Raw genomic sequence first — 17,311 nt, forward strand, 5'->3', positions numbered from 1 at the left:
AGACAAACAATCATACTAGTGACAACAGCTTTGCAAGTTTGGAGGAGTCAACCTGATCTAGTACTGTCCTCTCCCTGCTGAGGACAATTCTTCATAAAAGACCAACATGGGGGGTGAGGTGGGTGAGGAGGAGGGGAAAATGAGCAGGCTGCCTTTGGAGTGTGACCTGTGTGTGCAGGTACATTACCAAAGCTCCCTGCTCACAAGTCTCTCGTGCCCCCTGCAGACTCCATAGTCCGCCATCAAGGTTCCTGTTCCATCACTGGAAACTTTAACCAGGTTACTCTTATAAGTGTCTCTGCCCAAATGGGACAACTGGTTATGATGCAGGTGAACCCCAACATTGGGGCTTAGCCCAAGAGGGATCTTGGCTTCACTCAGGAAATAATTCAAGCATGAGCCAACAGTGAAAGGAAGCAAGTTGATTTGAGCAACAGCATACAACAAAATGGCTGCTCCACAGACAGGGCAGGGCTATCCCACAGGCAGAGTAGCACTGGTGGATTGCTGGCTAGGTATATTTACCCCTACTCCTAATTAGATGCTAAATAAGAGGTGGGTAATTCATGAACTTTCCGGAAAAGGGGCGAGCAGTTCCCAGAAGCATATAAAGTCATTTCTGGGCATTGCCATGGCATTTATAAACCATCACTGTGCTGGTGGGAGTATCTTGTAACATGCAAATGTATTATAATTCCTAGTCCTTGCTGGTTGTGGACAGTTTCCTTCCTACATCAGCAGGGTCAGGAAAACAAGCCCTGCTGATCTCCTGGCTCAGTTAGGTTAGGGTCTAGGGGAGTGCCGTAGTGAAGACCCCAGGCACTGACCCATTCCCAGAACCTCCTCCTCCAGGCTCATTCCCTACTCATTCATTTGCCCATCTCCTGTGTTTGTTTGGTATCTATTTCAGCTCCTCTTCCTGGTTACAACATCCAGATAATGGCTCTCCCCACTCAGCTCAATCCCTGGGGCTCCTGCTGTTCACCATCCTTGAAGGGAGTGAACCCACCCATCACCAAATGCCTCAGAAGAGATGCATCAGTAGCTGCTTCCCAAGAGGCAGGGAGCGAGTGCTCAGAGAAAACTCTGGGTAGGGGTGAGGATGATGCCAAAGGTCAGCTCTGCTCCCACTGTGCTCATGACTCTCTGGGCAGTCATGGTGCTTGGCCAGGTTCTCTTGGCATCAACTGATCCCCTTTCTTCAGGTCCTGATCCAAAGCCCAGCCTTGAGGATGCTGCCTGTCTCAGATCCTGAGCTCCTTAGAAGGAGAAACGGGGCCATGCCCAGCACTGGGGCAGATGTAAAGAGCAGTTTAAAGACTATAGGAAAAGGGAGGAAGTAGAGGACAAGGGAAAGGGAGAAAGAAGAGGGGGAGGAAGGAGAACAACAGTGCCTCCTTTATTCCAGCCTCCATGCCTTTGCTAATACTGAAACCTAAAGGGCCACCATGTATGATCTCCTCCCCACAACCATTCCCATCCTCATTGCTCTCCCCTGCTGCTGGTCTCACATCTGTCACACAGCCTTGCCTCGCCTGTGCCCTCCCAACCCAGCCTGGGCTCACAGCCTGCAGCGCTGTAGCCGTTAGCTGCATGTGCTTCAGGCTTGGGTCCACACTGCAAGCTGCTCCTCTCGCTTCCCTGTGGTGACTCACGGGCCCTTGCTGCAGCCTGGATTGATTGGGTGACAGGGTAGCCAGGGTCTGAGGCACCCTAGTGGCTCTTTGCAGAAGAAAAAGGAGTCCAGGGCACATTCCAAGCCCTGTCAACACTGGCTTAGCCCCTTAGTGGTGTAAAATCTCACGCCTGGAGTCCTGTAAGCTCCTGCTGCCAGCTGCAATTTTATTGGTGGTCTGTGACTTCAAAGGCCTCTCCTCCTGCATGGCTGAGCCAGGCAGGCTGCAGAGCAGAAGGCCTGTGCCCAGGGCACCAGGGAATTCCCCCAGGACCTGGACCCAGCCTCCTCTCCAACCTACACTGCCTCTTTCTTTGATAGTCACAAAAATCACTTTCCCAGCTCCCTTGGCAGCCAGAGCAGATGGAACTGCAGGCGAGGAACTGGCTTTCCTGGATCAGCTTCTTAGGATACCGCTTTTCTGGATCTGTTTGTCCCAGATTTGCAGGTGAGACACTTCTAACCAAACATCTCTTCAATGTCCCAACTGGATAAGATACTTTTTTTTCCTCTAGAAAGCCCCAGCAGTGGAAAGACAGGAGGCTGGGTTGTGGTCTGGGTCATCCTGAGTACCCACTTGATATCTGTCTGCCTAATCTATCAAGGAGGGTGACACTGAGGCCTGGCCACTGCCTCACAGCTCTTTGGAGGTTAGAAGAGGTCAAGTCTGGGAAAGCAGGCAGTGAAGCTCTCAAAGAGAAGGCACTGCTCAGTCCACACTGCTGGTGCCCCTCGCTGGCCGTCTTGACACTCAATGAAGTGTTTAAGACACAGTGTCTGAATCTCAACTCTGACATTTCCCAGCTGCGTGCCTTTGGGAGAATTACCCAACTCCTCTGGGCCTCCATGCACTCATGCGGATTAGCTCATATTGGTGAAACACTTGAACAGTCCCTGACACCTGGTAGGTGCTATAGAAATATTTGCTATTGGTTTTTTTGTTTGGTTTGGTTTTGAGACAGAGTCTCACTCTGTTGCCCAGGCTGGAGTGCAGCGGCATGATCTCAGCTCATGCAACCTCCACCTCCAGGGTTCAAGCGATTCTCGTGCCTCACCTCCCGAGTAGCTTAGGTTACAGGCGTGCAACGTCCAGCTGATATTTTTTGTATTTTTAGTAGAAACGGGGTTTTACCATGTCGGCCAGGCTGGTCTCAAACCCCTGACCTCAAGCGATCTGCCAGCCTCAGCCTCCCCAAGTGTTGGGATTACAGCTGTGAGCCACTGCACCCAGCCAGAAATGTTTGCTTTTGTTATTATTGCCACACATATGCCTCATCTTGCTCATTTATTCCACATGAATAGGATTTGTGTGCCAATGAGATGACAAGCTTCCTGTACCCTTTCCTCCCCAACACACACAGACACCCAGTCCAGCCTGGTGTGCTCAAGCAAGAGCAGCTCAGACCCTGCTCAGCCTTTTGCTTGTGAAGTAAGCTTGGGCAAATTATTAAACCCCTGCAATCCGGCATGGTCATTTATAAAAGGGAGCTAAGAATAACCTGCTTCACAGAGTGGCATAGAATTTACATGAAATTTAGATAAAGCTACTAGTAAATATCAGCAAAGCTCAGTGCCTGGCCTACTACAGGCACTTAATGAACGTATTAATGAATATTTGTAGTAGGCACTGAATGAATGTTTGTTCTCCCCGGTACTGGGCAAACAACAGCTCAGTAAACACTTGGCAGCTTCAGGTCAGTCCTGAAGAGCATGTGTTAAAGGGGGTGGTGGCATCAAGTGACCAGCCCCACCCTCCACCGCTGGCCACACCTTCCCTAGTGACCACACTGAGAAAACACTTAGATGGACCGATGGGTGTGAATCCCTTGAGAGCAAGGCTGCATCTTCTCTCTTGCACTTGCCAGCATCTGGCACAGCTGGGTATTAATCACACAAGACACAACTCCAGCGGTGGCGGCCCTGGATGTCTGAAATGCTGTCCAGAACATTGAGAGAAAGCCAAAGAAGGAAAGCTGCCCTCAAACATGCCCAGGATCTTGCTGGAGATGGAAACTAACAAGGATGGAAACATGACAGCAGAAAAATACAGACCAGTTTGAAGTCTGCCCACCTGGGAGTCAAGCCACATTGAAAATCAATAAGGCATCAAGGCCGGGAGCTCGGAGAGCCGACTGGATACCTGCGTGGGCCTCCTTTAAAGAGGTGAAAGCTTTGAAGTTGCAGACGACCAATAAAAATACAGCTGGCATTTACAGCTTCAACTCCTCCTGCTTTTGCTTTTCACCGTGTTGCTAAAGCTGCCTACAAAGCTGCTCCAGGCCGGACTCTTGGCCCAGGTTGACAGAGCCCATTCCCATTCCATGGACAATAACAGGGGCTCTTGGTGTCCTCTGGCCAGGGATTGGTGATCAACTTTAGGCACGCTGGCAATTTCCCAGGACAACCCCGTCTTAGGTTCTGAACATCAGAGGCAATGGCTAAGGTCCCCCAAAGCACTTTGGTAAGTTCAGTTAGAAGCAGGCTAAGTGGTGGCCAAGATAAGCCTCAGAGAAGCTCATGCTCTTCTGGGATACCTTCGCTCTATTTAGTGTGTTTTCCGTTCTCCTGCCCATTCAGTGTTCCCTTTTCAATGCCTGTAACACCAGGAGGAGGAAGGGCCTTCTAGAATGAGCCCTTCCCCTCAAAGATGGAGCAATCCAGGTACAACAGGTTAGTCCAAAAGGGAAACAATAGTTACAGTGAGAGGGAGCTGGACCCTGATTCCCAGCCCAATGCCTAGGATTTAAGATGCTGAAGCTGGAGGCTTTTCTTTCTTCTCTCACTTCTCTATTTACCACTCACAGGAAGCTCCAGGACCTTCCTCTTTCTTCAGCAAGCATAGAAAGGGTTCTCAGAACTAGGTGCTCCTGGCCCAGTGAGGGAGACAAGACTTAAAGCATAAAACATCCAGGCAAAAAGCTACAAAGCAGTCTCAGAATGAATGGAAGGTGTTATGCTATGCAACATATATGGGCAATGTCAGGCTTAATGACCAAGCTGAGCTAATGTCAATAAACAGAGAACTATTAGGAAATTCATTAATCAAGGTCTTGTTTATACTCCTATTTGTCAACCAAATTATTTGCTTGACTTGTGACCTCCTTGGTTTATTATGGCCATTTCTGTCATCAGCAGAGCTGGGCTGCTGGAATTTCACACATAGGTAGTCCTGCCTCTGTCTTCAGCATGCTCCTGGTCAGCCTTCTCCCAGAATCACACCTCTGAGCAGGGGCCAAGGTCTGTCTTCAGTTAACAAATAACCATTCTTTATAATCCAGTGGTTTACTGGGCCTTAATTAATTGATTTGCTAATCGCTGTTTCCTGTTTCCAGGAATGAGCCCAGGAAGTTGACCTTTGAAGCACTCTCCTGCTCTTGGGGCCATGTCATCAGGAAGAAACTCCAGGCTGAAAACACAACTGCAAGGCCAACAGGCAGGGGAGCAGCTTTCTCAGGACACCTGAGGTCCTGCCCCACCAGGCTCTGGTCTTTACACACCATCTCTCACTGTCCTCTAGCCCCAACTGCACATTGCCTTCCTCCTTCCTGAGCTCATGCTTGCCCCTCCCTCGGCATCTCCCTAGCCCCAGCCTGAAGGCTGACCTCCTCCAGAAAGCCTCTCCCTCACCACGAGGCCAGAAAGAGTCTGTCCTGTCTCTAGCTTCTGAGTTTCTTAGTCCCAACGACTGTCCCTGCTCCACTGACACCTTCCATACACAGCTTTGTGAGCTGTGCGCATCTGTGGGTACCAGAGGGTAAGTTCGAGGGCCAGCTGACGCCTACTGTCTCTACTGTCTCACAGATCTGCATTGGGTTTCCTTGGTCCCAATCCCCCACAGACACACACACATGTACACACTCACACACACAACGCTGGACCAATAGAGAGAACTTTATCAGTAAAATGTAACTATTTCATTACACCAGAAGCTATCCGTGTTTAAGGCCCTATCCCCAAAGCAAGTAGAGAATGACAATTATCTTGGTAAGGAACAAGGGCCTTCCCACTTCCATCCCCTAAATTACACTAATTTCTGGCGTTTCCACCTTCTCTGAGCCAGTGCTTCCATTTGGGAAATAAATATGAAATGATTTATCCATTCAAAGTGACAGATCACAGGTTTGTAGGTAGCAGGCAGGGGAATCTGCCTCACAAAGGTAGACATCCTTTATGACTTTGAAGGGAAAAGGGTGAAGGGCCCTGTGGGGAGTGGCAGCGAGGATCAGATTTCTCCAGAATCACTCGGAGTAATATCTATCCTCAGCAGCCGCCCTGTGGATTCTGACACATCTCAAAAAAGCAGGGGTCTGGAAAAAGCAGTCAGCATCTCTTACCTTCTGCAAAAAGCTACTGTGCAGACTGTTCCTTTGTAGTTTGGACTTAAAGAAAAAAAAATCAAACCATCTTGGAAAAATCAGAAAGCAGATGCGTCCATAATGGAACTTGGCAAGAGCAATAGAAACCTCGTTATGGGTGTTACAGGCACTCACACCTCAATTAACCTAGGGGGCGTGGGGCTGCTGGTTTCTCTGCACAGATGTCAGGGTGAGAGACCCTCATGGCCAGAAGACTTAGATACCCTGAGACTCCTTCTGAAACTAAGGACCCGGGATCCCCACCCAGCCCTGGCCTAGGATCCTTTTCAGAGCTTCGGAGCCTCATGTCCAGGGTAGTCCGTGGACACGGGGCCACCTCTGGTGCACCCTGGGCTGCCTAGGCCGCCAAGCCCACCCTGGAGTGGCAGGAGCTCAGCCTGTGGCCAGCTCTGCACCCACAGCCACGACCTGGTGCCGAATTTTACTATCTGCCATTTACCATTCTGACGGGGAAAACAAATTTAAAACACCTGGAAATTTATGTCTCTGATGGGTCAGGTTGCACTGTTCCATTATATTAAATAATCCAGGCTGTGCGCTTCAAAGGCCGCCGGCCTCGGGAGGCCGCCAGGGCGCGGGGCCTTTGTTAGCGGTGGGGATGCGGGCAGCCCATGGCCCACCTGCGCCTGGGAGCGCCCCAGGGTGCTTGGGCCTGAAGGCCGGCGTTGGGGGAGAGGGTGGCCTTCAGAATCAGCCCCAGGCACTGGCATGTGCTCTTTCGGAGGCCTGCTTTCCCTTTCCCTGGACTGGGTATGACTCTCATCTGCACTGGCCTGGGTTCAGAAGGTGGAGGTTTCCTTTCTCACCCGGTCACTCACAGGCTCAGTGACGTGGGGCCCCAGTCTCCTCCTCTGTGTAACAGGACCTTAGTGGCAGGCAGCTCTGTTCGCGTGGCTGACGCCCCTCCCCAGCCCCATTCTGTGCCCCAGACTTACCAGGGGGGCTCAATTGGCTCTGTTCAAACTCTCAGAAGCTCTGAAGGTCAAGGTGAGCATGAAGGGTTGAGAAGATTGGAATTTGGAGGAATGATCAAACTGCTTAGACTTGGGTGGCTAGCGGGGTCAGTAGCAGAAGCTGGGAGAACGCTCAGGAGGCTCTTGCTAAGCAAAGCTCTCAAGGCCAGGCTGGCCAAGAGCAGCACTGGTTTTGGGCAAGAAGGAGTTCCGTACCCTGGGACCATCCGGCGAGTGACCCTCACCCAGCACTGACACTGCAGGGGATGTGGGAGGGCCAAGGGGCAGGGGTGAGGACTTGTGTCCCAGAAGCTGGGCAGGAAGGATAGGTGAGTTGTGCCTGGAGTCTGAAACCAACAGACTGGTTTAAGAACTCATATGAGGTCTTGGAAACTTCTAGAAAATGCTAGAGGATGGGATGGGAGTGGGCTCTGAGATGTTATCACCCTATGGTGAGGCCTGTGAAGCTTCTCAACGTTTGTGCTACATCTATAAGATGGAGATGAAGCTTCCTGCTCCCTCTGCCTCACAGCACTGCTGCAAGGACCAGAGCACACGTCTTCTGGAAGCACCTTGTAAACCTAAGATTCTGTAAATGAAGTCTTATTTTTGCAGTTGGGAAAAGGAAACCTGGAGGAGGCTGGGAACATGGCAAAGCCACAGCAGAAAGAGAAGACAGAGCTGGGTGTTCTCACTCCCAGCTCTGTGATGTCCAGCCCCCCATCCTGCCGGTCATCAGGGCTCCCGCCCCCTCCCCCATGTCGCCTCTAATCCTCTAAGTGTATCATGGATCCTTCCCCAGGTCACTGGTGACACCCTGCTCAGCCACAGCACCAGAGAGGAGAGAAAACACCACAACAGTCTTCATAGAACTAAAAGACTTCCTAGAGCGCGCTTGCCCTTTGTTTCTATAGCTGCTGCTACGTGGATAAGAGTCACTAGTTCAGCTCATATTCAGGACCAACAGAACACTTCCAAAGGTGGCTCACCTCAGAGACTGGGACTCCAGAGGTCAGCGTGCCTCTGTCTAGCTGTGCTTTCTAGTGAACACGTTACTTCACCTCCCCTGGGCTCAGTCTTGTCACTTTGGCAATGAGGGCATTTGGCGGCATTCTCTGAAGCCACCCTACCCCCTTCAATGGTCTGGAACCTTAGCAGCACATTTGAATCATCTGAGGAGCTTTTTTAAAATACCACGGCCTGGGCTCTGCCCCGAGAGGTTCTGATCTAATTGGTCTGGGATAGAACCTCAGGTGGTTCTCATGTGCGGGCAAGCTGGAGGACCCCTACACTAGTTGTTATGAGGATTTTATTCAGCAAACATCAAACCCCACATGGAGTGGTCCAGGGGCCAGAACCTAGACATTCAAGAGGGAGTTCCTGTGAGTTTAACTTCCTCTCCTGGAATAAAAATTTTAAGAACTCAAAAAGCACAAAAGTTGATTTTTGGGGGGGGTCTCTTTTCAAATTATGACCCTAAAGTTAGGCCGCCATCAGTCATATATAGGTCAGAAGGGGGCCCAGTCCTGACTTGGATGTTAGATGAGTTTATTGGCCACAGAGAGACTAAATCTTAAAGGACCCCCTTGGCAGAAGGAATCAGCAGCCAGCGTGGCCACTCGACTGCCTGACCCAGACCCCCAAGGTGAAGAGGCCCTTTGAGCCTCCATGCAGCAGCCCTGCCAGGAGGCACCACTGTGATGTATCACTGTGGTCAACCATCCCTCCAAGCCTCAGGGCAGCCTTTGAACTGGGTTGCCCTGCCCACAGTGTGAAGCCAGTGCTCTGAACAGGCATGTCGGAGAATACTGCCAGAAAGTCACTCCTCGGGACCAAGTAGGGAAGGGCCTTAACGAGCAGCAAAAAGTTATCCTTCAATGTGTTTAAAAGAAATCCTGTGTTAACCCTTTTAAGGATACTAAATGGCAGATGTTGGTGCTTGAAGAGGCCTGGCCCAAACCCTCCCCACAAGCAGAATAGGTTCTCTCATCCCCATGTTACCTCTACAGTAAAAACCCAGAGGAAGAGCTGATCATGTGCTGCCCACCTGGTCTACTCCAGTGAAACAGGATCATTTCTAATTAGCCAGACTCTAAACAAATGGGTACAATTGACATGCTGGGAACATTTTTGTTTAAGTGATAATGAAAATATTTTCCCTTTATTACGTGCTTGACTCGGATGTGTGGCACAGGATGGCACTTCATAACCGCTTGAGAAAGTGAGGCAGGTATTCATGTCACTATTTTACAGATTAGGCACCCAGCATAAGTTAATGCCAGGGCAAGACCGTTTGTAAGCCAGGTCTCCTGGCTTATCCCCTCCTCATGTTACTGTAATTCTCTCTCCAGCTGCAATCAAGCTTACATTATCTGTGTGCTCACCAATTTTATTTTTAATTTAAAGGCATATGTTGTGTTCCCAATTATAATTAAAAAATTTAAAAGTATATTATGTTTAAAGTATGAACCCAAGTCTGAAAAAGTGTAAGTTATACTCATATAGAATAAAATAACCAAAATAAAATACATCAAAATATTAACCATGGTTATCTATGGATGGTGAGAATGTGGTTGACTTTCACTGTCTTTATTCTACCTTTCTATATATTTTGAGAACTTTAAAATGAGCATGTGTTAACTTGGAATTTCAAAACAAGATGTTTCAAAAATTGAGTTTTGGTTCAGCAGACTATGCAAGAATAAGCTTCTGTTGGCCCCATCTGCGTCATCATGAATTTCAAAATGGCACTGATCCAGTTGGGAATGGCAATTACCAAGGGAGAGCTTATAGTTTAGCACCCCAAGCAAAGCCCAAAATTCATGGCTGTTAGCCATCACAATGGCCAATTTCTCAGGGATCACTCCAATTAGGATCTTCTCCATGGCTTACAACACTAGCCCTCTGACTTCAGACAAGGCGCATCTGCAGCACAGCTGGAGCAGCTGGGTTGGAAAATCAATCACTGCCCAACAACTGTGCAACTGATGGCCCATCAATCAGAAACATAGGGCGTTCACTCCATTTGTAAAACACATACATTTGCTTGCAAATCTGCAAATGCAATAAGCAGCCCAAGCAGCTCCAGCCCTGGAAAAATGGCAGCACCAGTCAATTTTGCCTGTAGAGAGTCACAGACGGTCAACCCAAATGAAGCACTCCCATTGCAAGAGTCCACAAAGACCTCTAGCCCCACACTCACTGGCCCTCAAAGCCCCTACAAACCCACAGGACAGAGTTCTCCAGATATATTCAAGACCTGACAACAGTCATGCTTTAACTCCATGAGAATCCATCAGTGCTTGAATAATTTCTTTGAGACCTTCTAATTGTTCCTTCCTTCCTTCCTTCTTCCTCCTCATCCCTTTCTCCCTTTCTCCCTTCCTTCCTCTCTTCCTTTCTTTTTTCTAAAATTCAAACATCAAAGGAGAAATGTCTTTTCCCTCGGTCATGGTCAGATGAAGACCTAGTTCGTAGAACTTAAATGCACACCTGCACATGAACCAATTTCTGGGGCAAATTTACTTTCTCGGCATCTAAAAACTTTGTTGCAAGGTCCACAGACAACATCACTCCACACAGCATTTTAGATGCCCTCAGTAAATGTATTCAGAATAAATATATGAACAGAACACTTTATAGCCATAGCCGCCTCTGTTCCCTCCAGGACACCCTAACACTGCCTCGCGATGTCTCCCTCATTTGCCCGTGGAGTAAGGTGAAGAGTCCTTGGCCTTTGGCCTGGCACCAGGGTGGAAAGATAGCCCAGCCAATATCCCTGATACCTACCAAGGCCGCTTAATATGTTCCTCTCCGAATAATAATAATGGTAAGTATAAGCATCATATATCACTTTGTAATTGATAGATAATCTCACTTGATCCTGAAAATCCTGCCAAATAAGCATTATCATCACCAAGAAAGATGAGAAAACTGAAAGGGAACTAAGGGAGAAGAATATTTAATAAGGATCTATCAGTGATGTGTAGCACTGTGCTAAGTAGTTTTCCAATGTGAGATCATCCATTCTTTAGGATACCCCTGAAGAACGTAGCATGTAGATATTATTAGACCCAATTTATAGGTGAGGAATTAAGACTCAAAAAGGAAAAAGAATCACAGAGGTTGTAAGACATAACAAGGTCACATGGTAAGTGATGGAATGAACTTGGATTTAAACCTGAGACTTCTGACTCCAAATTCTCAAAACTTTCTGACTATAGTTTTGTGAATCCAAGTATGTTAGTGGCATAGTTCTTAAAGTCACATGAGCTTTCCTGGTTGGCTGATAACCTGAAGCTCAGGATTTCTTTTTTGGAGCAGAAGACTGGACCAGGAAAACCCCCAAACAGCCCAACCGGAAGTCCAAACTCAATCTTGGGGATAGCCTTCCATGACCCACCCTAGCCCAACTCAGCCCTGAGGCTAGAGCTCAGGATTCTGGAGGCACCATTACATGAATAGCTAGCAAGTCCAGTGTCAGGCCAACTCCCCCATCCCTGTCCTCTCAGCCCAGAACTGCAGGCTCTGTTTGCTCCTGAGGGAATGCTTCTTGAAGCTCCAGGATCCTCCACCTGCACTGGTTTGGGAAAAGAAAGACCGAGCTGCCTCTGCCTATGGCTTTCAGAGCCTTTCCCTCTGTGAGCACGGAGTGCATGCCACTGTGGCGGCAGGAGGGAGTGCTGCAATGGGCTCCACTCCTGTTCTGAGAAACTTAATAGTGGTATTACTAATGCATCAGAAAACTCCAGGCAGCAGAACCAGACTGCCAAACCATATCGTGCTTGAGGGTGAGCTGCAAAATGAAGGGGCAAGCGGTACACAGGGAGCTTGGGTTCATGGGGCTCAGAAATCATACTCATAGACAGCAGTTATTGAGCATTATTTACATGTGCCAGGTGGAAGAGCAATCGAGCTTTTCCATATGGTTCCAAGGAAGGACCACAGGGAAGAAGCTAAAGGGAGACCCACCTCAGGTTGTAAAGGGAAGAACAAGGCTATGTAGAGATACAAAGGCTGCCTTGGTGGATAGTGCATTTCTTGTCACTGGAGGTATTCAGACATAGTGTGGACAAGCCCTTGCTGTGAGGCTGTAGATAGAATTACGGATTAGGGCAGAGGGTAAGATGTGAAGATCTTCAATGTCCCTTTCAACGATGAGGTTTCTGTGATTCTACTTTGGTGCCGCAACCTGGTAGCTCCTCTCTTCCATCCTTCGAACCAGGCATTTGCTGAACAAGGAGCAAGTTTGGCCCCCCATACCAGGAAGGAGAGGAGCTGCGGAGCTGCTCGGCTGCTCAAGGCTGCTGCGCCACCCGTGGAGTCCAGGTGCGGTGCACGGGGAAGAGGCTACGGTGGATTATGGAGAACTATCCCCAAGACTGCATTTGGACTTTAAGGAAAGCTACATCTATCAGGCCCTTCCTGCACTCCCTAATCTCACAAGCTCTTTGTAAAAATTCTCAGAGCCATGGTGCTCTTTTTGGCATTTGCAGTGAACACAGAATCCAAAACTACTTTCTGTTACTGAAATAAACCCTGATTCCCAAAGAAACAGGTCTTTTGGACAGCATCGGATTCCTTCCCTTGCTATTGCCAGTTGCTGTTTTTCTTTACTTTGTAACGTTCAGTTTTTCCCACAGTTTGCCACTCTGGAAAAAATGTGGAAACGGGGCTCTCATATGTTTGAGATGGAGAGCAAACTCCTGCTGGAAAAAATGAAATCTCCAACCTGGAGCCCCAAGCCTGAGTCAAACTTTCCACTGAATCAAGATCTCTACTTACAACCTGAGAGGCAAAATTAAGTTGTAATATTCCAGCAAATAGCTGCAGCCATTCAGAATGCTACTCCTGGCTCCTTGGCTGGATCACAAACCAATGCAGAGGCAAATTTAATTACCTGTCAGGAACTAAATAAAAGGTTTGCTTCATCTAATATTCCCAGTGTGCAGGACAGCTATGAAAACAGTCTGACGCTCAATCGATTTGCTGTTTACAGAGGCCCAAAGAGGCTCTGAGACACACAAGTGGGCTACTTGAAGCTTGCGCTAGTTTAAATATTCTTTAGTGTATTTGCCAACTGCTCCCTATTCCTGAGCTACACTCAAAGCCACTGCCTATCCCCAAGGGCTCTTCCATCTGTTCCTTAAAAATATTCCACGATCTTTCCTTTCAGATGTCAAAAATGGCTGGTAAGGCAAGTCCCACTCCATTAGATTACCCACAGCAGAATGCTCATCTCCTGCAGAGAGAATCTGGCTTTCTGAGGTCCACTGCCAACTCAGCAAGAGTCCAGGCTGCCTTTTACCTCTGGCAGCATCGGCCATCAGGGAGTCAGGGCAGAAAGGATGTTTTTGCACCAGGAAACTTTGATTAACAAGGCTAAGTTCACATCCATTGCTCTAAACCTCAGTTTCCCCAACTGTAACCTGGGGAAACCTGCCCTGCCCACTCACAGGGTTGTAGTGAGCCTAAGTGTGATGATGAGCCCAAAAGACCTGGGCTGATGTAAGGAGGTGTTACTGCTGATTGATACGTGCAATGGCGTTTCATTGTCTGGAGGTGGAGAGCCCAAGGCTGGGGGAGGAGCAATTTCTATCTTCATGGAAGTTGTAAATGGCAGCTGTGAGCAGCACACGGAGAACACAGAGGAAGGGCAGGGCCTGACTGTGATGGGAGATAGGCAGGACACAGCCAGCTCCCAACAGAGCTTCTCCTCCAAGGCTTTGCAGAAAGCAGAGTCAGTCCACAGAATTGCTTGAGAGAGCCCACTCAACTTGTTTAAGGTAAGACCCTGAAGATGCTACAAAAGCAGCAGTTTGTTGGAAATGAAGGGCAAAATCAAGACTGGAGACAGGAGCTTTAATGTTTTAGAATCATTTCTTCCCTGTGCCTAAAGTCAGAAGTATGGGTTTTTAGAGCAAGGACTCCATGTTGCTGTATCACTTGGACACGTTACTTAATGTTACTTAACTTCTCTGAGCCTCAGTTTCCTTACCTATAAAATAGATTTTGAAAAAAGTAAATAATCTTATAAGTGAAAATCATTATGTAAACAATTCTTGTACCATGACGGCTTCTGCCAGTTTTCACCTAGAAGCCTGGAGGACCTTGGTAAATAACTGGACTCATCTGTCCTCACTCTATCCTCAAGAAGTTTGTTCCAAAAAGGGCAGTGTATTAGTCTGTTCTCACACTGCTATAAAGAGCTGCCCAAGACTGGGTAATGTTTAAAGAAAAGAGGTGTAATTGACTGGCAATTCCACATGGCTGGGGAGGCCTCAGGAAACTTACAATCATGGCGGAAGGAGAACAGGCACATCTTATATGGCAGCAGGTGAGAGTGAGTGTGTTAAGCCCAGGGGGGATCCGCCATTTATAAAACGATCAGATCTCGTGAGAACTCCCTCACTATCACAAGAGCAGCATGGGGGAAACTGCCCCATGATCCAGTCACCTTCCATGAGGTCCCTCCCTCAACATGTGGAGATTATGGGGATTACAATTTCAGATGAGATTTGGGTGGTGACACAGAGCCAAACCATATCAGGCAGCTTGATGCCACCCAGGAGACACTGCAGACCTAGGTCAGTCTCCTCAACTCTGGGTCACTGGGCCAAGGAGACTTTTTCAACATAAAGGCCCCAAGCTCTTGGCATGTATGTCCTGGAATTATGAAGCATGGATTAAAGCGTGGGATCTCCCCATCCAGCCCCAAACCCTGACATCCAGGCACTATCACCACACCCAGCAGGGCTCCCAGGACCAGAGAGGCCTCCTGACCCTTTCTTCACACCCCTTAAAGACAGGTTCTGGAAGGTGCCTGACACAGCTGGGCTGGGACCAAAGTCTGTGGCTCAGTCACCTCTGCTGGCCCTTCTGTCATTGTAGGAGTCACAAGGGGCTCTATCCATATCCCCACCTCCTTGTCTCCCACAGATCAGCTTAAAGTATACTTTCTCTGGCCATAATCCCTAAGCCCTAGAAGGGACTGAGCACAACTTCACTCATCACCTGGCCCAACTCAGGGAGGGTCAAGTCACCCCAGCACTCCAGCTATAGCTAAGGATGAGCTAGATGAAAGCTTTTGGAGAGCCTCTGGCTTCTTTTTCTAAGAGTAGGGTAAAGAAAGATGCTCCCTGCAGCATCTTCAGTGATCTAATTATCAGGAGGACACCACATTTTAAATTTCTCTCCATGGTGGCTTTTTTCCAAGGCAGTGCTAATAAAATCTCTAACCCACGTGGAGCCCCCCACTGCTCATCAACTATTAGCTGCCCTCAGGCTGTACCAGTCTGTTTATATTATAAATAAAGGCTGAAATATGCAGCTTGCTCGGTGCAGGATCCTTGGGGGCCGTGGGGAGCGGAGCCAGCCCCCTCCACTGCCTGCCCACCCCAGGTTAGGGAGGGATAGCCCAGCAGAGGTTTTGCCTGAAGCCAGCTCCTTTGGACATTAACAAACCACTACAAGAACCTGCGATCAGTCCCTGGAATCCTGCTTTAATTATTTAGGAGGAAGAGTGTTTTTGCTTCCCCCAAGCTCTGCAGCCCCCCAGAGCCCCCAGAATCATTGTTCAATGCTTATTACCGCCGCAGGCCCGGGCACAGTGTTGCAGAGACCTCATTTCAATATTTACCACTTAGATCACTTAAGGGCTGTCAGCTTTAATAACATTTTATCAATTGGATACTTATATTATTCACGGCTTCATAAAAATAACAAGACCTGCCTTAGCATTTCAATCATACCCGGACTAATTTCAGTGACTGCTCAGGGATTTCGTTTTTATTAACATTTAGATCCGCTGCAACTGATTCTCTTCCTGGACGCATAGCACATGAGGTGGCCACCAGCAGGCTGTGGGGGCGCGTGCGGAGCGATCTGCCCTGGGCATGTGGTCAGGGAAGGCACGGAGTTGACACGCCAAGAGGCCAGGCTGAGATCCCGCCCCATTTGTGTGACTGTTCATGGTGGGTGGCCTGGCTCAGGGCTCTGCTGGGGGAAAACTCCCCCCTCTAGCCTTTGACAATCCGTTCCCAGCCTGGCCTCCTTCCTCCCAGTCCTGGGGCTTGCAGCCACAGTGACTATCTCCTGGGCTCTGAAAAGCAGCGCTGTACTCCACAGGGCTCCGCCTGGAAGGCCTCCTACCTGTCTTCCACCTGCAGATCCCTACTCAGCCTTCTGGGCCCACCTCCAAGGTCACAGCCATGAAGCCCTCTCCTGCTGCCCAAGAGCCAGCAGCATGGTCGGGGCTCAGGGTATGTCTGTGGAGGGAATGGCACCCTCCTTGTCCTTCTGGTCACTTCCCGCCCAGATTCTGATGTCCCTTTCTCCCCCAGGCACCAGAGTTCTGGCCTTTCCTGAAGCCACCATCACACGCCACTCTCCTTTCTCCATCCCTTAGGGGCATGGCATCGGAGCCTACTAGTAACTGCGAGGCAACTCCAGGCCTTTTGTCCGCTGTCCATCTTGGCAACACCCCTTGGAGATGCTGTCCTTCTAGAGGAAACACCGCCTCGCCCAGCAGCTGCCACATGTTCAGGAGTGGCTTGCTCTCTCCTTTGCTGCTCCCGGGCCCCAGGGTCTTCTTCAGCACCCCGTGGCCCCAGGCATGCTGCTGCTGCAGCTTCCTGCCTCCCTGGCCTTGCCTGCTCCTTTGCTCTCCAGTCGTTCTCCTCACAAAGGCCAAGGTTCTTTTATGTCACTCTCCTCTGGGAAGCTTTCAAGCTTCTTCAATACATTTTTATTGCTCTCGGAACCAAATCAAAAGTCCCCCTCTCCCAACCCCTTGCTCTGTGTGCCCCCACCCTCCGGCCTCACCATGCAGCCTTTCTCCCACTCACAGTTGGCTGGCCATCCTGGTCTTTCAGGTTCTCAGTCCACCAAGCCTGTTTCCCCCAGCACCTTTGCAATGACAGCCCTCCCAGGAAGCCCTTCCCACTGCTCCCCACATGGCTCACACTAGCCCCTGCTTCCATGTCACCTAAGAGAGACATTCCCCGATGCCCTCTCTAACGTGGGTTTCTCCCTCCAGCCCTGTCATTCTCTATCTTGGTCCCATTTGCTACCTCCATGGGATCGATCACCACTTGCAATTTTTAAACTTCTTTGTTGATTTGTTCTTCTCCACGAACTCAGAGACTGTAACTGGTGCATAGTAGTTGCTCAATAAAAATGAATTGACTGAACGAATGAATTTATCCACTTCCTTAATCCTTTTCCCTTATGAGAATTCTCCCCATCAGCATCTTTCCTTCTCACATCATCTTGACTGTCTGTGCTGATAAAGGGAGTTTGACTCCTAT

The 17,311-nt window shown here is 49.1% G+C and overlaps 1 long non-coding RNA gene across 1 annotated transcript, besides 2 other annotated features; it reads left to right on the plus strand.

Moving 5' to 3' along the window:
* Positions 1-3,485: 3,485 nt before the first annotated feature.
* Positions 3,486-5,774, plus strand: LOC105374577 (uncharacterized). The gene is made up of 2 exons (XR_001739448.2): positions 3,486-4,136; positions 5,008-5,774. It is a non-coding gene; the product is annotated as an uncharacterized LOC105374577 (long non-coding RNA).
* Positions 15,432-16,250: an enhancer, noted in NCBI's record as "H3K4me1 hESC enhancer chr2:45570374-45571192 (GRCh37/hg19 assembly coordinates)". NCBI's record gives its function as "activates a minimal SCP1, AML or CMV promoter by ChIP-STARR-seq in primed H9 embryonic stem cells {active_cell/tissue: H9 hESC(primed)}" and the evidence as "EXISTENCE:reporter gene assay evidence [ECO:0000049][PMID:30033119]".
* Positions 16,251-17,068: an enhancer, noted in NCBI's record as "H3K4me1 hESC enhancer chr2:45571193-45572010 (GRCh37/hg19 assembly coordinates)". NCBI's record gives its function as "activates a minimal SCP1, AML or CMV promoter by ChIP-STARR-seq in primed H9 embryonic stem cells {active_cell/tissue: H9 hESC(primed)}" and the evidence as "EXISTENCE:reporter gene assay evidence [ECO:0000049][PMID:30033119]".

Source organism: Homo sapiens, chromosome 2 (assembly GCF_000001405.40).
Source record: "Homo sapiens chromosome 2, GRCh38.p14 Primary Assembly".
Classification (NCBI taxonomy): domain Eukaryota; kingdom Metazoa; phylum Chordata; class Mammalia; order Primates; family Hominidae; genus Homo; species Homo sapiens.